Consider the following 13,161-nt stretch of genomic DNA (forward strand, 5'->3'; position numbering starts at 1 on the left):
GGCACTGCTTGGCCTGAGAGCAGAGTCAGAAATGAGTGCCTGTCGGGGTGGCCCTGTGAGGGCCTGGGGTGTCTGGATGTGGGCACAGTTGGGTGCTAGGGGAGCACCCAGTCCAGTAGGGAAGGGGGCACTGTCTGCCCCAGGGAGCACCCAGTGTGAAGGGGTGGTGTGAGGCTGGGCACTCCTGAGCATCTGCATGATTTTCTTGGAGATGGGTGAAAGAAATTGTATTTTATTTGAGCAATTTTCTACAGTACTTAGGTGGAGAAATGGAGCACCCTCTGCATCCCAAGGGAACATGTATACTACAGCAACACTGCTAACAGTTTATTCCCATGTAATGCTTTCTACATGCCTGGTATTGTACCAACATTCTATGTATAGTAACTTACTTAATCCTCATGGTAATTTAGGTGGTAGGTGCTACTTATTATCCCCATTTTGCAGAAGGGAAAACCAAAGCACAGAGAGCTAAAGTAACTTACCCAAGATCACACAGCTGCTACGTGGCTGAGCTGGGATTTGAACCCAGGCAGCCTGGCTCCAGAGCTTGTGTTCTTGGTCACTCTGCCTCCTGGAGGCAGGAGACAGCATATTACTGCTTTTGGTTTCCAGGTGGGACTCTGGTGTGAGATGGGCCGTCTCTCACTTGTGTTGACAAAGGGGCCCTTCCTTCACCTCATGGTTCCTCACACCAGGCCAGTGAGCAGGAGAGGTTCCTCTTAGTGTCTGTCCATTTTAGAGATTTGATGAGGAGTCCAGGCCCGTGTTGACTCAAACCCCTGTGTCTGCTGCACTCTCCCGCCCCTCCCAAGCCCTCACCACCACTTCTTTTCTGTGCATGGCTATAGAACTTGGGGTCCCAGGGATATTCAGGAGACCCCATTGCCTTGAACTCCCAGGCTTCCCCGGTCCCAGGACCCTGTGTTTGGGAGCTGAAAGAGGAGGATCAGAGGGTAGGGGAGCACGGCCTGGGCCCAGGAGCAGAAGGAGCAGCACTATCTCCAGGGAGCCCTGGGTGAGATGCTGGGAACATCTCACTAACATGAACAGCAGCGCCGGCCCCTGAGCAGAGGACGACCAGGGCTGTGGCTGGCCCCCACGCTGTATGAACTGTTGCTGCTGTGAACTGCTTGCCTCCTGTTCCCCGTGACTGGGGTGGCTGTGCATGTCATGAAACATGTGTCATGTGACTCAGTTGTAGGTTTTATTTGAGGACAGCACCAGTCTCTGGACACATTCGTGATGAGATTCCTTTCAGAACCCTGTTTCTGAAGCTGGTTTCCTGCCCCCAGGAATGGGGAGCTGCTGGTAGGTTTAAAGGCCGCTGAGCGCCTGGTCACAGATGCTGCTCCAGTTGTCCGGGTCTCAGTGTCTGTCCTTCCTTCCCAGTCGTCTCAGCATATTGGGTTATTTCTAGCTGTGATTCATGTCAGTGTGTTAGTCATCTGTTGGCTGCATAGCATGTGCTAAACGCCGTGCTGGGTGCCAGGGTTGTAGAAGTGAAGCCCCCAAATCCGATCGTGGCCCCAGGGGCTCATGCTGTCGCTACGGAGCACCATGGCATTCCCCTGGGTAGTGTGGCCCAAGATTCGTGTCTGCATCCATCAAGCAACTGCCATCTACCAGGCCCTGTGCAGCCTCTGGGGATACAGATTGGAAAGAGGTAATCAGAATGCATGGGTGGAAGAAGTCCTCTGACCGCGTTGCAGAGGGCAGGTTGGCAGGAGGCAGGTTTGGAGATGGAGAGGAATGACAGGATGCTGTTGTCATAATTCAGAGGAGAACCGGCAGGGCTGCAGAAGGTGATTGGATTGGAGCAGGCAAGGAGCAAAGGGAACAGACTGCAAAGATCATCAGGATGTGGTGACCAGCGGGTGGGACAGGGAGGGGCCCGTCTTCCTGAGGCAGCTCGAGGTGCTCCCTGGGATTCTAGTGGATGTGGGAGCAGGAACTTGCGACATGTCAGAGGGGAGAGTGTGAGGACCAGTGTGGGGGCCTGGCTCTCCTGCCCCTGACTCAACAGGCAAGCCCCTGCAGCTCCCATGCCCAGTCTCCCCCGCTGCGGAGTGGCGCCACTCTCACTGCTGCTGCTACTTCAGAGGGTCTTGTGTGGCCTTTTGTAAGCTCATGGGATGGAAGCATCTGAAAATGTATCATTCATATTTTTATTGGAATCATGAATCCCACTTGCCACCTGCCAGGGCATGGTTTGAGGATGAGAGGGCCCTGCTTCAAGATGCTGCTGCCATTGCTTCGCAGGCCTCTTCCTGGGCCCCTCTGAGTGCTGCCCCATCCCTGGGGGTCTCCTGGGTCTCAGAAGCACCCCTCCCAACACCTCCCCCCAACACACACACACACACACACACACACACACACACTTTCTCTGTTCTCCAGCAGCCTTTTAGCTGCTAAGATGCTCTTTGATACTTAGGCCTTTGTTTCATTTTGCGTGTGGCTTCCCCAGGCTGCAGTGTGTTCGATGACTCTCCCGCCCAGCCATACATCCAGGCTTCTGTTCCCTTCTCCAGATGGCCTTTCATCCCTCCCAGCCTCCCCCTGCACCCCACTGCTGCTGTCATCCATTCCTGACCGCCAGATCTTACCAGGAGCAAGCATCCCAGGCTTCTCACTGTCCGCACCTCCCCTTGCCTGGCTCCATCAGGAGCGCCTCTTTCCCTATGGCTGCTGTGGCTGCCTCTGCTTTCTTGCTCCTTTTCAAGCCAAGTGCAGCCTGGCGAGGAAGCCTTTCCCAGGTGCCCAGGTGAGCGTACCTGCTCCCCGTGACACCCGACCCGATCGATGCTAACAAAGGCTGGTCACTCGGCCTGTCTGAACAGTACATGTAGATCCACCCTCCTCACCTGGCACTCAGGCGATTCCTGAACTAGGGCTGCACTCCTCTGCCTCTCACCTCCTCATTTGGTCAGCCAGTCCTGGGCGTCTGTGCTGCTAGGAGCTACAGGTACAGGGGCAAATACAGGGCCTGTCACTGCCCCTGGGGAGGGCACGCCTGAGCAAGCCAGGACCAGCTGCCCCGGCATCCTCACTCAGGCCTGCCTCACCCGACATCTGGTTTCATTTTTTCCCCCTAACGGACAGACAGTATGGGGGCTGCTGGCTACAGGGGAGTTGCTGGAAAGGTCTTGGGGAAGCAGATGTTGGGAAGCTGGCTCTTCCTCGGTGCCTTCCTGCCTGGTCCCCTTCTGATCCTCAGAGCCAGTGCTTGTTCACTCCCTTTTCTGTTTTAGATGAGTGACCACAGGGTCACTGGCTAGTGTTGGTGCTGCCTTCGCCATAGCATCCTTGGGTGCAGCTGGTGCAGGGCCCTTAGACATATCCACTGGGTCCCATTTATAGAAGATACCAGCCCTGGTCGCACACACCACTATTTCACATGCCACTAAGAAGGAAGAATGCGCCGCCGATCATACTATGGCACAGCGCCACTGGAGGACACGTGTTGCTTGTCAGTGATCTTGGTTAAGTCACGGCTGGTGTGGAGTGGGAACCCTGGTGTCCCCGTGGCTTCCTGGAGACGCTACAAAGACTAGCATAGGCAACAGGAGCATGAGGTCAACTGTCGCTTCTGCTGAGGTCAACTCTCCCTTCTGCTGGCCCCTCAGGGCTGCTGCTTCCCTGCGGATGTGGCAGTGACTATCTGGATCTTATCTACTAAAAGCCAGGGCCCTAGAGGGGGTCATGGGAGAGGCTGGGTCTGGGTCTTGGGCTGTTCTGGATCCTGGGGAACTGTCCCCACTACCCCCACAAAAGATGGCCACTATTGAGGGGTTGCTGTGGGAGTCCCATGGGGTGTCCTAGGGAAAGAAGAAGTAATGCCTTCCCTCCAGGGCCACCGGCGCCTTGCCACCAGCTGAAGCAGAGGCACAGCTGCCTCCAAATGGGGAATTGATTTTTGCTTCCTGCATCTCAGAGCAGGACACTCGATGTCCTCATTCTACCCCTAGGCGGCTCAGAAGGAGGCAGGGGGAAGGGGCCCTGTGCAACATGTGTGCCAGATGAGCACACAGGCCTGCTCATCTACTCAGGGCCCCCACCATCTCCATGAACTTCTGGAGCTTCGTGCCTGCCCAGGCCCTTTGTCTCACCCTCTGCTATGTGATCAGAAGCAGAGATGCAAAGTCCCAGGACCATCCTGTTGTTCTCTTCTCTACTGAGCGAGGCAGAAACACCAATCGTGGTGTAATGAGCATATGCAGGGATTTGTGTGCCTGGCTCCCCTGGGCTTCATGGAGGTAACGCGGTCCCATCCATATGGCTACCCTAGGAGATGAGGAAACTGGGGTGCAGGAAGGTTAAGTCACTTGCTCAAGGTGTCACACAGTAACAGACAACTGGGATCAGGTCTTGGGTGTTGGTTTCAGGCTATGCCTCAGCAGCCTTCACAGTGTTCTGGGATGCGGAGTTGGATATGGGGTTGCAGGGATTGGTGAGGGTCCTTGGCCCTCCGCCCACCCTGCACACTTGCTGGCTTCTACTTGGATATCACAGGGGTTGGCTTGCAACACTAATTTACACCCCATATCCAGTGAAGCAGGCAGCTCCTGTTAAACCCATTTTATAGATGGGAAACTGGAGGAAGCACCATTAGAGATGAGCCTTAAAGAAGTGCAAGTTCTATAAGGAAAGAGGCATGAAATTGCAGGGTGTCTTGTGGGGCTGGCGCATAGAGAGGTGGGCCTGGAGCCTGCTGGGCAGAGGGGGCTTACGAATAAGAGACCACCTTCTGTCTGGAAGGCTCTTTCTTGCCTGCTACAAGCAGAGCACACACGGCGCTGAGAGGCTCTTCGTGCTAACTACATGCCAGACACTTTTAAACACTTTGTAGGTGTTAGTGTCATTCGATAGCACAGTAAGGCTGGGCTCAGTGGCTTATGCCTGTAATCCAAGTACTTTGGGAGGCCGAGGTGGGTGGATCACTTGAAGCCAGGAGTTCGAAACCAGCCTGGCCAACATGGCAAAACTCCATCTCTACCAAAAATATATATATATACACACACACAAAATTAGCCAGGCGTGATGGTGCACAACTGTAGTCCCAGCTACTCGGGATGCTGAGGCACAAGAATCGCTTGAATCCGGGAGGCAGATGTTGCAGTGAGCCAAGATCGCACCACTGCACTCCAGCCTGGGTGACAGAACAAGACTGTCTCAAAAAAAAAAGAAAAAAAATAGCACAATAACCCTAAAGAGTAAGCATTAACATTTGGCAGATAAACCGAAGCCCAGAGAGATTGTACTGTTTGCCTAAGGTCACGTAGGTGTGAAGGGAATGAGGTTTCGAATCGAATCCAGACTTTCGGAGTCCCTTACCCTGAACCACAGGGTTGTAGCTGCCAGCTGAGGTCAGGAGAGATGAGCGCCAAGGCGTCCTCCCAGCCTGCGGAGCTTTGCACGTCATCTTAAGTGGTTTGGACTCAGCAGTGGGGGCCATGTGCGGTTTCAGCAGGAGTGCTAGCCTCGCCTGCTTCACCGCAGTACCTCCAGAACACACAAGGTGCTCAGCAGCCAGTTGTTGAATGAACGTTGGGTGAGTGATAGAACACCTTGGTACTGTAGGTTAGAATGGATCGAGGTGAGGGAGTCTGGTCACAAGGATGCAGTTTGGAGAGGTGAGGGGAGCTCAGTGGGTTCACTTTAGACGAGTTGGGTGGTGCGTGCTTTTACGTTTTACGCTGAGACATTTGAGGAGTGCTTGGAAGTCTGGATTAAGGCTCAGCATTGGCAGTTCGAGTCTGGGATGATTCCCTGCTGCTGTCCCAGCCCCAGCTGTGGTCACCATGAGGTGAGCTGGAAGGCCCCAAGGTCCTCGGCACCAGCCCCTGGACAGGCTGGAGAGGATGACAGGGGATGGGGCTTGGTGAGGAGCCTGAGAGCCCAGTTTCTGGGGTGCCTGTACCCAGCTCAGCACCTGCTTGATAAGAACCTGGTGCCTTGGGTGATGGGGGAGAGGGGATTTGTTTAGGGGTCAGAAGCAGTGCATTTGCAGGTGGTTGTGCCTCTATTTCTCCTCCCCCAAAGAAGGCTGTTACCCATCAGAGATCTTGCTGGAGGAGAGGGGGCAGTGGGTACTGCCATAGCTGTACTGTCAGCTTGGCTGACGGGGGGTGGTCCCATGGGCCTCTGTGGCCAGCTCTGCAGGCCCCCTCCTGACCCTAACCCCCTTTCTGTGGCTGAACCTCTGCTCCCAACAGCCCCTCCTGCTTCTTGGTTTCTTTTTTCTTTCTTTCTTTCTTTCCTTTTTGGAGGGGAATGGAGTCTTGCTGTGTTGCCCAGGCTGGAGGGCAGTGACGCGATCTCAGATCACTGCAGCCTCCACCTCCCGAGGTCAAGCAATTCTGCTCAGCCTCCCGAGTAGCTGAGATTAGAGGCGCTGGCTACCACACCTGGCTAATTTTTGTATTTTTAGTAGAGACAGCATTTCATTATATTGGCAAGGTTAGTCTCGAACTCCTGACCTCAAGTGATCTGCCCGCCTCAGCCTCCCAAACTGCTGTGATTACAGGTGTGAGCCATCACGCCCAGCCCCTGCTTCTTGGTTTCTGACAGGCAGAAGGCCTCCCCATGTTGACACCCCAGATTGGAAGGGGCCCAAAAAGTTTGCAGGGTGGAGCTACAATTCCTCTCCACGCCCCTTGGCAGGCTTTGGAGTATCTCACTGCCAATTGCTTAGCCCCTTGGAGGGTGGCCGTGGGTCTAATGGCATTCATTGACAGCTGTGCAAGTGATGTGTACGTGGGCCTCCCGCCGTGGGAGCACCAGGCAGGAGGCCAATCGTCACCCGTCTGTGGGAGAGAGGCAGTCACATGTACTGGCCAAGGCTGTCCTGGGCCCAAGCGAGCTGCATTTTATGAAGGGGGAAAGGGACATTGGGTCCTAGCTGCCATTTTAATTTGAAAATTGGGGACCTCTGTGTAAAAAGGGGCCTTTGGGGCCAGCTCTCTTAACCACTGGTAAGTGGGGCCCACAGGACAAGGGACAGGCTGGCCATGTTGGTTGCTTAGGCAGTAGAAGGCACTCTTGACCCTGCCTGCAGCACAGAGGGGCTCAGGTCAGGACTGACACTGCCCTCCCATTGCCTGGTATGCTCTGCGCACACCACACCAGGTCCTCCCGTCTCTCCCACTCACCCTGGGACTGTTTTTGCCATTCTAGCAAGTGCACAGACCAAAGGCACGCAGGTCAAAGAAGCATGCAGGCCAGCCCCGCCTAATTAGAGCAGACAGACTTCCCAGTCCAGATGTGTGAGTGACTGGCCAGGCGCACCCAGACACCCGCCCAGCTGGTGTCACTCTGTCTGTCCTTGCGTAATCCCCTGCCTGCCTCTGTCTGTCCCTGTCAGCCCTCCTGGTTCTCTCGACAGTGCCCAGACTCTCTTTTTGGCTGCGAATTCCCGGGTGTTGTCATTAACCCACGTTTGCCTCAGAACAACTTGTGTTGGTTTGCACCATAAGGAGAACACGCACAACATCCACTGCCCCGCATGCGGCTGCCAGCGTGGCCTCTGTGCTCACCGGCCTCGGGGGTGAGGGGTGGTGACTCCCCATCCCCCCACCACCTCTTGGTTGTAAGAAAGTGGCCTTTGTGGCTGGCTGATCCACATATCACGCCTGTTTGCGGCATGCCAGACTGTACAGCAAGGCCCTGTCACGCAGCCAGCCTGCCTTTATTCCCTTTATGGAAACCACTCCACTAGGGGCAGGAGGACAAGGGCTGTCCTTGGCTGAGCAGGGGGTGGCCCGTGACATTGGAGGAAAGCCCTGATTCCCCTGTGGTGCCTCCGCCCCCTGCATGGCAGGCCAGCCCCCAGGAGGAGCGAGGGCTGCGAGGGGTGGGGCGGGCAGCAGGCGGCACCATCTGTGGCCGTCCTTTGTGCTGGCAGTGGAGTGATCCCTCCGTCACTGCGATCCAGCGGGCCTCGTGCTTGGCGTGCAAATGAGTTTCCAGATGCCCAGTGCCCCCGCACAAGAGGCGGTACCTAGGGGCCTGGGAGAAGGATGGAGTGGGCTGGAGGCTCGTTTTTGTGTGTCCTGGCCTGCCCGAATAGGCTGCCTTTCCAGCTGTAGCACATGTGTGCTGGACACCCACATAGGGGTGTTTGTTGGTTTCTGTGCAGACACACATGACAGAGGAGAGTGTCTCTTCTCTCATACTGTCCTCCTTTTGAGGGTGGTGGCAAGGTGACCCCACGGAGGGGGGCAGGACACATCTTTTAAGACTTAGCTCATCCACCAGGCCCCCTCCTGGAGGGAGAAACAGGGCCCCTCTTGGGGACCACAGCCCCTGCTTGCCTTCTTGGTTGGGCATCTTTGTGTACCACACAAGCTGAGCAGATGGAGCAAGCAGCTCTGGCGACTTCTCGGGGCTTTGGGCTGACGGGAACCCCGTCCAGGATCTGGGCGGCTTGGGATGGCAGCCTGCCCAGCCACTCCCGGTCACTGTGCCTATGGGTGTCTTCCACCAGTGCCGGCCAAACGTGGTGGCGTACAAGAGGCCTGAGGGGTTCCTTATTGAGTCAGAGGGGCTGGGGAGCTGTGAACACCTAGGATTTTGCCTTCTGAAGGCTTTCACCTCCTCCCCACCTTCTGGTCCAGCCTCAGGCTCTACCACCAGGGCATGGGGCCAGGAGCAGGAGCACTGTCTCTGTCCCTGCTGACTCTGGCTGTGGTTACTGTGAGTAGCTTTGCCTGACTGGGCCCCCGTCTACTCATCTGTAGAATGAGGATAATAATAGCTAATGATGTCCTAGATGGTCAAGAAAAAAAAAGGATGCAGAAGCACGTTGTGCAGCATCCAGATGGGAGACCCTTGAAATGTGGAGTCGGCTTTGCACCCAGCCAAGTGGCTGAGCAGTTATGATTCAAAATATGCCTGGCCACTCTTGCCCATCGACTACTTCCATAACGCTCAGGTCACTCCCAGCAGGAGTAGGACATCAGCTGAGGTGTGGCCACCCTTTGTCCAGCATTCCACAGACCCAGCAGGCCCCCATCCGTCCCTCCCTGCAGCCTGGGAGGAAGGCAGGACACGAGGCATTACTCCTTTTTACCTCTAAGCAAACTGAGGCCCAGAGAGTCTGTGGGCTCCTGAAGTCAAACAGCAAGATGGTGACTGAGCGCAGCCAGTTCCCCAGCCCTCAGCGTCCTCATGTACTTCAGGAGGACAGGCCAGCTGAGACACGATGGACAGCCCAGGCTGAGACACGCTGGCCTGGGAGGCGCTTTTGGCTCCTGTGGCCACGTGGGGACAGTGAACAGTGAAAGAAAATGGAAGTTTTCCCCAGTCCCCAGTTCATGTGGGGCTCTCTTATCCCGGATGTGGATGGCTGCTCTGTGCTCCTGCCTTGGGCACCCCTGGCTGCCTCCTGCTTGGCCCCCCACCACCCTGGCCACCCTCTGCTCTGGACATCCTTTGTCTTCCTAGGCATTTGTGCCCAGCAGAGCAGGGACCAACCGTGGGTGTGACCAGAAGGTGTGTGCTAGGGGGCCAGTTTCTGGGCAGGAGTTTCAGGGACAGCCCTGCAGACACTCCTAGGTTGTCAGCAGATTCCAAGATTTTGTTCAAACCTTGTGATGTTTGAGCCCACCCATGGGGAGAAGCCACGCTTTGCCTCTGATCGAAGTGTGAGGGAGTGAGCTTCCCTGAGGGGGATCTGGGGTGGTGGGCAGCTGCTAAGCTTGCCCTGACTCAAGGTCTGTGTCAGGCCCCCTCACTCCTCCAGTTTCCACTTGGCACCATCTCTGCCACCCTTCCCATCATCCTGACTCTCCCCCTCTTTGCCTCCACGGACCACTACTTCCTGCACGCGGGCCATTCTGACCCCCTCTTCATGACAGAAACTTTTGTATCCTCCTTCAAGGGTGTCAGTCCCATCTTACAGTTGAGAATACTGAGGCCTCCCAAGAGGGCTGAGTAAGTCTTCTGGCGTCACACGAATCTGGGAGCAAAACCAGCATGGATAGCACCCAGTCTGGGGAGAGTTGGGGGGGGGTCTTGGTGTGGCAGAGCATGATGAACAAGCACCCACTGACTGTCCTGTCCTTCCTGCAGCCTTGTTGTCCTCCTGGTGCGAAGAGCTCGGCCGCCTGCTGCTGCTCCGACATCAGAAGAGCCGCCAGAGCGATCCCCCTGGGAAACTCCCCATGCAGCCCCCTCTCAGCTCCATGAGCTCCATGAAACCCACTCTGTCGCACAGGTAAGTGGGTGGGTGCCATGGGTGCAGGTACTGAGCAGACACCCCTCTGGTCTCAGATCTCCTTGGACATGTCCCTGGGGTGGGGGCCTCTGTGCAACCATGAGGATGTTGCATTTTCTAAGGTGCAGTTGTTTTTTTACATCTTCGTGGGTGAGCCCTGTTTCTCCCTCTCAAACAGGTTGAAAGCACTGAGTTTGTCACTTTGGTGGAGGCTGTTTTTCTTCAGGTTCTAGGCTTCTGGCAGAACGTTAGAAATTCTGAGCTCAGCACCTTCCCTCTTTCTTGACCAGGGTATTGGGCAAACCCAGAGAAACCAGGGGCTGACAGGGATCTCAGGAAGGCCACGGGGTTGGTGGTTCCAGCCAAGATGGGGACAGAGCCAGCCCAGGCCAGCCACCCTGGAGCCAAGTAAGACTGGGCTGGGTCCACCAGAAGCCCAGGGTCACAGGCAGGCATGGGCTTGCTGGAGGCCGACAGCACCGAGGGATTGTCCAGTCCACCTGTGCCAGCCTCAGAAGGAGCACGTGGCCAGGACTGGCAATTCCCCCAGTTAATTATCTTTTGAGTCCCTTGCTGAGCTGGGGATGCTCTCTCTGAGCGCTCTGCAGGCTGACCCTGCAACAACAGGGCCTGTCATGCTGTCTGCTCTCCCCTGTGTGTGTCTCCGCTAATGATCAGGAGGGTCATTTGCAGTCAGAGCTCGGCTCTCATTATCCAGCCTGACTGAGGGACCCGCAGCCCAGAGCACACTGCAGGCAGACCTGGGTCGCACCATCGAGGTGCTGCTGGGAACTCGGGTGTCAGCCACGCTTTATAAATCGAATTAGAGGCTTGTTGACTTTCTGAGCTGGAAAGGACCTTAGTGCTCATCATGTCCAGTGCCCTCCCTGGGCCTGATTGCCCCTGACATGTGGTTGCCTGCCTTGGTCATAAGCCCTTTGTACCATCGCAAGCCCACCACCACCCAAGGGCACTGCCTCCTCAGATCCTGGGTCTGGCTGCTGAGCAGCTCCAAGCTTCTCTTCTGTAGCAGTGTTCCTTAGTGCATTTACACAGGGTAGTTTTTCTTTTTATTATTATTATTTATTATTATTATTATTTTAATTCTTTTTTTTAATTTTTTTTAGTATTTATTGATCATTCTTGGGTGTTTCTCGGAGAGGGGGATTTGGCAGGGTCATAGGACAATAGTGCAGGGAAGGTCAGCAGATAAACACGTGAACAAAGGTCTCTGGTTTTCCTAGGCAGAGGGTCCTGCCGCCCTCCGCAGTGTTTGTGTCCCTGGGTACTTGAGATTAGGGAGTGGTGATGACTCTTAACGAGCATGCTGCCTTCAAGCATCTGTTTAACAAAGCACATCTTGCACCGCCCTTAATCCATTTAACCCTTAGTGGACACAGCACATGTTTCAGAGAGCACGGGGTTGGGGGTAAGGTTATAGATTAACAGCATCCCAAGGCAGAAGAATTTTTCTTAGTACAGAACAAAATGGAGTCTCCTATGTCTACTTCTTTCTACACAGACACAGTAACAATCTGATCTCTCTTTCTTTTCCCCACATTTCCCCCTTTTCTATTCGACAAAACCACCATCATCATCATGGCCCGTTCTCAATGAGCTGTTGGGTACACCTCCCAGACAGGGTGGTGGCGGGGCAGAGGGGCTCCTCACTTCCCAGACGGGGTGGCCGGGCAGAGGCGCCACCCACGTCCCAGACGGGGCGGCGGCCGGGCGGGGGCTGCCCCCCACCTCCAGGACGGGGCAGCTGGCCGGACAGGGGCTGCCCCCCACCTCCCGGACGGGGCGGCTGGCCGGACGGGGGCTGCCCCCGACCTCCCGGACGGGGCAGCTGCCAGGGGGAGGGGCTCCTCACTTCCCGGACGGGGCGGCTGCCGGGCGGTGGGGCTCCTCACTTCTCAGACTGGGCGGCCGGTCAGAGACGCTCCTCACCTCCCAGATGGGGTGGTGGCGGGGCAGAGACACTCCTCAGTTCCCAGACGGGGTCGCGGCCGGGCAGAGGTGCTCTTCACATCTCAGACGGGGTGGCGGGGCAGAGGCGCTCCCCACATCCCAGACGATGGGCAGCTGGGCAGAGACGCTCCTCACTTCCTAGACGGGATGTCAGCCGGGAAGAGGCGCTCCTCACTTCCCAGACTGGGCGGCCGGGCAGAGGGGCTCCTCACATCCCAGATGATGGGCGGCCAGGCAGAGACGCTCCTCACTTCCTAGACAGGGTGGCGGCTGGGCAGAGGCTGCAATCTCGGCACTTTGGGAGGCCAAGGCAGGCAGCTGGGAGGTGGAGATTGTAGCGAGCCGAGATCACGCCACTGCACTCCAGCCTGGGCAACATTGAGCACTGAGTGAGCGAGACTCCGTCTGCAATCCGGCACCTTGGGAGGCTGAGGCTGGCAGATCACTCACGGTCAGGAGCTGGAGACCAGCCTGGCCAACACGGCGAAACCCCGTCTCCACCAAAAAATAGGAAAACCAGTCAGGCATGGTGGCACGCGCCTGCAATCCCAGGCACTCGGCAGGCTGAGGCAGGAGAATCAGGCAGGGAGGTTGCAGTGAGCCGAGATGGCGGCAGTACAGTCCAGCCTCGGCTAGGTATCAGAGGGAGAGACCGTGCAAAGGGGAGAGGGGGAGGGAGAGGGGTATTATTATTACTTTTTTTTTTTTTTTGGACAAGATCTGGTTCTGTCACCCAGGCTGTAGTACAGTGGCGCAATCTCGGCTGACTGCAAGCTCCGCCCCTGGGCTCAAGTGATCCTCCCATCTCAGCCTTCCAAGTAGCTGGGACCACAGGCATTCACCACCACCCATGGCTAATTTTTTGTATTTTTAGTAGAGATGGCATTGCCCAGGCTGGTCTCGAACTCCTAAGCTCAAGGAATCTGCCTGCCTCAGCCTCCCAAAGTACTGGGATTATAGGCATGAACCACCAT

General features: G+C 56.1%; 1 protein-coding gene across 12 annotated transcripts in view, besides 4 other annotated features; it reads left to right on the forward strand.

Annotated features, from left to right (window-relative positions):
- ZMIZ1 (zinc finger MIZ-type containing 1) overlaps positions 1-13,161 on the forward strand; it is a 247,554-nt gene that overhangs the window by 198,144 nt on the left and 36,249 nt on the right. For all 12 annotated transcript variants that reach the window (XM_047425538.1, XM_047425539.1, XM_005269988.4 and 9 more), the window contains one exon: positions 10,072-10,216. In XM_047425538.1, the coding sequence (XP_047281494.1) occupies positions 10,072-10,216 (145 nt within the window). The remainder of the gene's footprint in view (positions 1-10,071; positions 10,217-13,161) is intronic.
- Positions 6,310-7,180: an enhancer, noted in NCBI's record as "H3K27ac-H3K4me1 hESC enhancer chr10:81033176-81034046 (GRCh37/hg19 assembly coordinates)". NCBI's record gives its function as "activates a minimal SCP1, AML or CMV promoter by ChIP-STARR-seq in primed H9 embryonic stem cells {active_cell/tissue: H9 hESC(primed)}" and the evidence as "EXISTENCE:reporter gene assay evidence [ECO:0000049][PMID:30033119]".
- Positions 7,181-8,052: an enhancer, noted in NCBI's record as "H3K4me1 hESC enhancer chr10:81034047-81034918 (GRCh37/hg19 assembly coordinates)". NCBI's record gives its function as "activates a minimal SCP1, AML or CMV promoter by ChIP-STARR-seq in naive and primed H9 embryonic stem cells {active_cell/tissue: H9 hESC(naive and primed)}" and the evidence as "EXISTENCE:reporter gene assay evidence [ECO:0000049][PMID:30033119]".
- Positions 8,053-8,923: an enhancer, noted in NCBI's record as "H3K4me1 hESC enhancer chr10:81034919-81035789 (GRCh37/hg19 assembly coordinates)". NCBI's record gives its function as "activates a minimal SCP1, AML or CMV promoter by ChIP-STARR-seq in naive H9 embryonic stem cells {active_cell/tissue: H9 hESC(naive)}" and the evidence as "EXISTENCE:reporter gene assay evidence [ECO:0000049][PMID:30033119]".
- Positions 12,577-12,746: a silencer, noted in NCBI's record as "fragment chr10:81039443-81039612 (GRCh37/hg19 assembly coordinates)". NCBI's record gives its function as "represses an EF-1alpha promoter that drives an FKBP-Casp9 reporter gene in an ReSE screen in phorbol 12-myristate 13-acetate-treated (for megakaryocytic differentiation) K562 erythroleukemia cells {active_cell/tissue: K562(+PMA)}" and the evidence as "EXISTENCE:reporter gene assay evidence [ECO:0000049][PMID:32094911]".

The sequence above is a fragment of the Homo sapiens genome, chromosome 10 (assembly GCF_000001405.40).
Source record: "Homo sapiens chromosome 10, GRCh38.p14 Primary Assembly".
Taxonomy (NCBI): Eukaryota; Metazoa; Chordata; class Mammalia; order Primates; family Hominidae; genus Homo; species Homo sapiens.